This window comes from Homo sapiens, chromosome 19, assembly GCF_000001405.40.
Source record: "Homo sapiens chromosome 19, GRCh38.p14 Primary Assembly".
In the NCBI taxonomy this organism is placed as follows: domain Eukaryota; kingdom Metazoa; phylum Chordata; class Mammalia; order Primates; family Hominidae; genus Homo; species Homo sapiens.
Genome location: NC_000019.10, coordinates 15,727,421 through 15,731,172, shown reverse-complemented (window position 1 = coordinate 15,731,172; position 3,752 = coordinate 15,727,421). Strand labels below are relative to the sequence as shown.

Below are 3,752 nucleotides of genomic sequence, written 5' to 3'. Positions count from 1 at the left end.
GTAAGAGCTAAAACTACAAAACTCTTATGAGGCAACGTAGATGTTCATGACCTTAGATAAAGCAATACAATGTTTTTTTAGATGTGACACCAAAAGCACAAGCAACAACAAAAAAAAATAGGTACACTGATGTTATCAAAATGTAAATCTATTGTGCTACAGAAAGACACCAAAAAGACCATGAAAACACAACCCACAAACTATAAGGAAATAACTGAAAATCACAGATCAGATAAAAGAGTCTTAACTAAAAATATAAAGCATTCTTACAACTTAACAACAAAAATACAAACAACCCAATTGGAAAATGGGTGGAGTATCTCAATAGCTATTTCTCCAAGAACATATCTAAATAGCCAATAAGCACATGATGAGATGTTCAACATCCTTACTCACTAGGGAAATGCAGATCAAAACCACAATGAGATACCACTTCACACCCACGAAGATGGCTGTGATCAAAAAGACAGTAACAAGTATTGGTGAGGTTGCAGAGACCTAGACCCCTGCAGCATTGCTGGTGGGAATGTAAAATGGTGCATAGACTTTAGGAAACAGCTTGGAAGTTCCTAAAAAAATAAACATAGAAATACCACTTGACCCAGCAATTTCACTCCTAGGTATATATCCCAAGGAAATGAAAGCATATATTGCAACACTTGTACTGATCACTCATAGCAGTATTACTCAAAATAGCAAAAATTAGAAACACTGAAATGTCCATCAATGACAAATGGGTAAATAAAATGTAGTGTTTCCATACAATGGAATATTATTTGGCAATCAAAATGATATACTGGCTGGGCACGGTGGTTCATGCCTGAAATCCCAGCACTTTAGGAGGCCGAGGTGGGTGGAGTGTTTGAGGTCAGGTGTTCAAGACCAGCCTGGCCAACATGGTGAAACCCCGTCTCTACTGAAATACAAAAATTAGCCAGGCATGGTGGCAGGCATCTGTAATCCCAGCTATTTGGAAGGCTGAGGCAAGAGAATCACTTGAACCTGGGATGCGAAGGTTGCAGTGAGCCAAGATCATGCCACTGCACTCCAGCCTAGGTGACAGGGTGAGACTCTGTCTTGAAAAAAAAAAAAGATGATGTACTGATACAAGCTACAATGTAGGAGAACTTCAAAAACATTATGCTCAGTGAAACAATTCATCTGAAAATAAAAGAATTATATTTACAGTTGTCCATTGATGTGAAACGTCCAGAAAAAGCAACTCTAACCAGACAGAAAGATTAGTGGCTCCCTAGGGCTGGAGGGCATGGAGATTTGGAGGAAACAGAGAGTGACTGATAATGAGTATGGGTTGTTTGTTTGTTTGAGACAAGGTTTGGCTCTGTTGCCCAAGTCAGAGTTCAGTGGTGATCATGGCTCACTGCAGCCTCGAACTCCTGGATGCAAGCAATCCTCCCACATCAGCCTCTGGAGTAGCTGGGGCTACAGGAATGTGCCACCCCATTTAGCTAATTATCAGAATTTTTGTGTGTGTCAGGAAGGGGAACATCACAGACTGGGGCCTGTTGTGGGGTAGGGGGAGTGGGGAGGGATAGCATTAGGAGATATACCTAATGTTAAATGACAAGTTAATGGGTGCAGCACACCAACATGGCACATGTATATGTATGTAACTAACCTGTACGTAGTGCATATGTACCCTAAAACTTAAAGTGTAATAAATTAAAAAAAAAAGAACTTGTGTGTGTGTATGTGTTTGTGTGTGTGTGTAGATGGCATCTCACTATGTTGTCCAGACCGATCGTGAATTCCTGACATCAAACAATTCTCCCACTCAGCCTTCCAAAGCACTAGGATTTGGGTTTCTTTTTTGGATGACTAAAATACTCTAAGCCAGATTGTCATGATGGTTGCATAACTCTGAATACGCAAAAACCACAGAAATGTGCGCTCTAATGGGTACATTGTATGGTAGGTGAATTACATCTTAATAAAGCTACTATAACTCAAAAATTAAAACTCAGATAAAGACATACAGATCAAGAGTTGTGGAAGTAAACATGCTTTTAACATTTACTGAGCACCTACTATGTGATGAGTGTTGTCATATACAGAAATCTTTACACCTGCCTTACAAGGTAAGCATTACTAGCCACACTGTGCAGACAAGGTGATGGTCATCCTCCTATCATATTCTATCAGCACTTCCACACCAGCTACTCAGGTGCCTGAGGAATAGAGTGTGCTGAGGAAGGTCCTCTTCATGGCAACCTTCAGTTCTTTGTTCCTGAGGCTGAAGATGATGGGGCTGAGGAAGGGCGTGAGGACTGCGTAGGTGGTGGCCATCAGGGTGTCACCCTCCTGAGAGTGGGGACCTTTGGGCTTGAGGTAGATGACAGAGGCAAAGCCATAGTGCACAATGACCACAATAAGGTGAGAGGCACAGGTGGAGAAGGCCTTGTTCCGACCTTCAGCAGAAGGGATCTTCAAGATGTCGGCCACGATGAAGGCATAGGAGAGGAGGATGAGGAGAAAACAGCCCAGCAGTGCCATGATACATACCAAGCCCACGCCCAGGGCCACAGCTGGTACATTATTTCCACAGGCCAACTTCAACAGAGGTGGCACATGACATAAAAAATGCTGGATCTCATGGGATCCACAGAAAGTCAGTTGGAAAATGGCCGAGGTCACCACCATCCCCATGACCGAGCCACCAGCCCAGGAGCAGCCCACCAGGCAGGCGCAGCCCCGTGGGCTCATGAGCACGTTGTAGCGCAGGGGGTGGCAGATGGCCACGTAGCGGTCGTAGCCCATGACGGTGAGCAGGAAGGAGTGGGTGAAGCCGAAGCTGAAGGAGAAGAACATCTGACTGGCACAGGCCAGGAAGGCGATGGAGCGCTGGGTGGACAGCAGGTCGGCCAGCATGCGCGGGATGATGGCCACGGTGTAGAGGATCTCGGAGACTGAGAGGACGCACAGGAAGAGGTACATGGGCGTGTGGAGGCTGCGCTCGCTCCAGACGGTGGCCATGATGAGCAGGTTGCCCAGCAGCGTGAACAGGTACATCAGCAGGAACAGCAGGAAGAGCATCAGTTGGAGGTGGGGGAAGGCAGAGAAGCCGACGAGGATGAATTCAGACATGGAGGTGTGGTTTAGCCCCAGCATGACGGCCACCCCTAGTTGGGGAAGAGAGGAAAGAAGACCCAGTGGTTAGGAGCATGGGGGTGTCTAGTGATTCCTGCCTGGGAGGACATCTGAGAGCGCCTCCTTCATCTGTCCAAGCCATGGTTACTCCATCTGCAGAAAGGCATTAATAATAATGTATTGAGGTTTAAATAAGATCACTCACCTTAAGTGCTTTGTGCAGGTCCTGACACAAAGTAAGAATTTAATAAATTATAAATGTTGATAGTAATAATTATTCTGCTATTGTTATTGCCATCACGATTATTAGATCCATGCACCACCACCTACACCTTGCTTTTCTGCCTTTGTTCATGCTGGTCTTTTCATGCTTTTCCCTATCTTTATGGGTCCAAATCCTACCTGAATTTTATGAGCAAGCTGCTCCCTGATTGCCACCTTCAGCTGGAAGTCATCTCTTCCCTATGTCATGGAAACGTCCAGACTCTGTTTAATTCTCGGCACCACTGCTTTCTAGCTGTGAGATGCAGGGCAGGTTGCTTCCCCTCTCTGAGCCTCATTGCTCCCCTGGAAAATTGAAACCACCTTTGCAAAATTATGACTGAGACAGCGAAAGAGATCTAACTTAACCAACTCCATCTTGC

General features: G+C 45.0%; 1 protein-coding gene across 1 annotated transcript; it reads right to left on the bottom strand.

Annotated features, from left to right (window-relative positions):
• Positions 1 to 2,120: 2,120 nt before the first annotated feature.
• OR10H2 (olfactory receptor family 10 subfamily H member 2) lies at positions 2,121 to 3,149 on the bottom strand. Its single transcript, NM_013939.2, has one exon. The coding sequence runs from the start codon at positions 3,127 to 3,129 to the stop codon at positions 2,182 to 2,184; it is 948 nt and encodes a 315-aa protein (NP_039227.1). The 5' UTR covers positions 3,130 to 3,149; the 3' UTR covers positions 2,121 to 2,181.
• Positions 3,150 to 3,752: the final 603 nt, after the last annotated feature.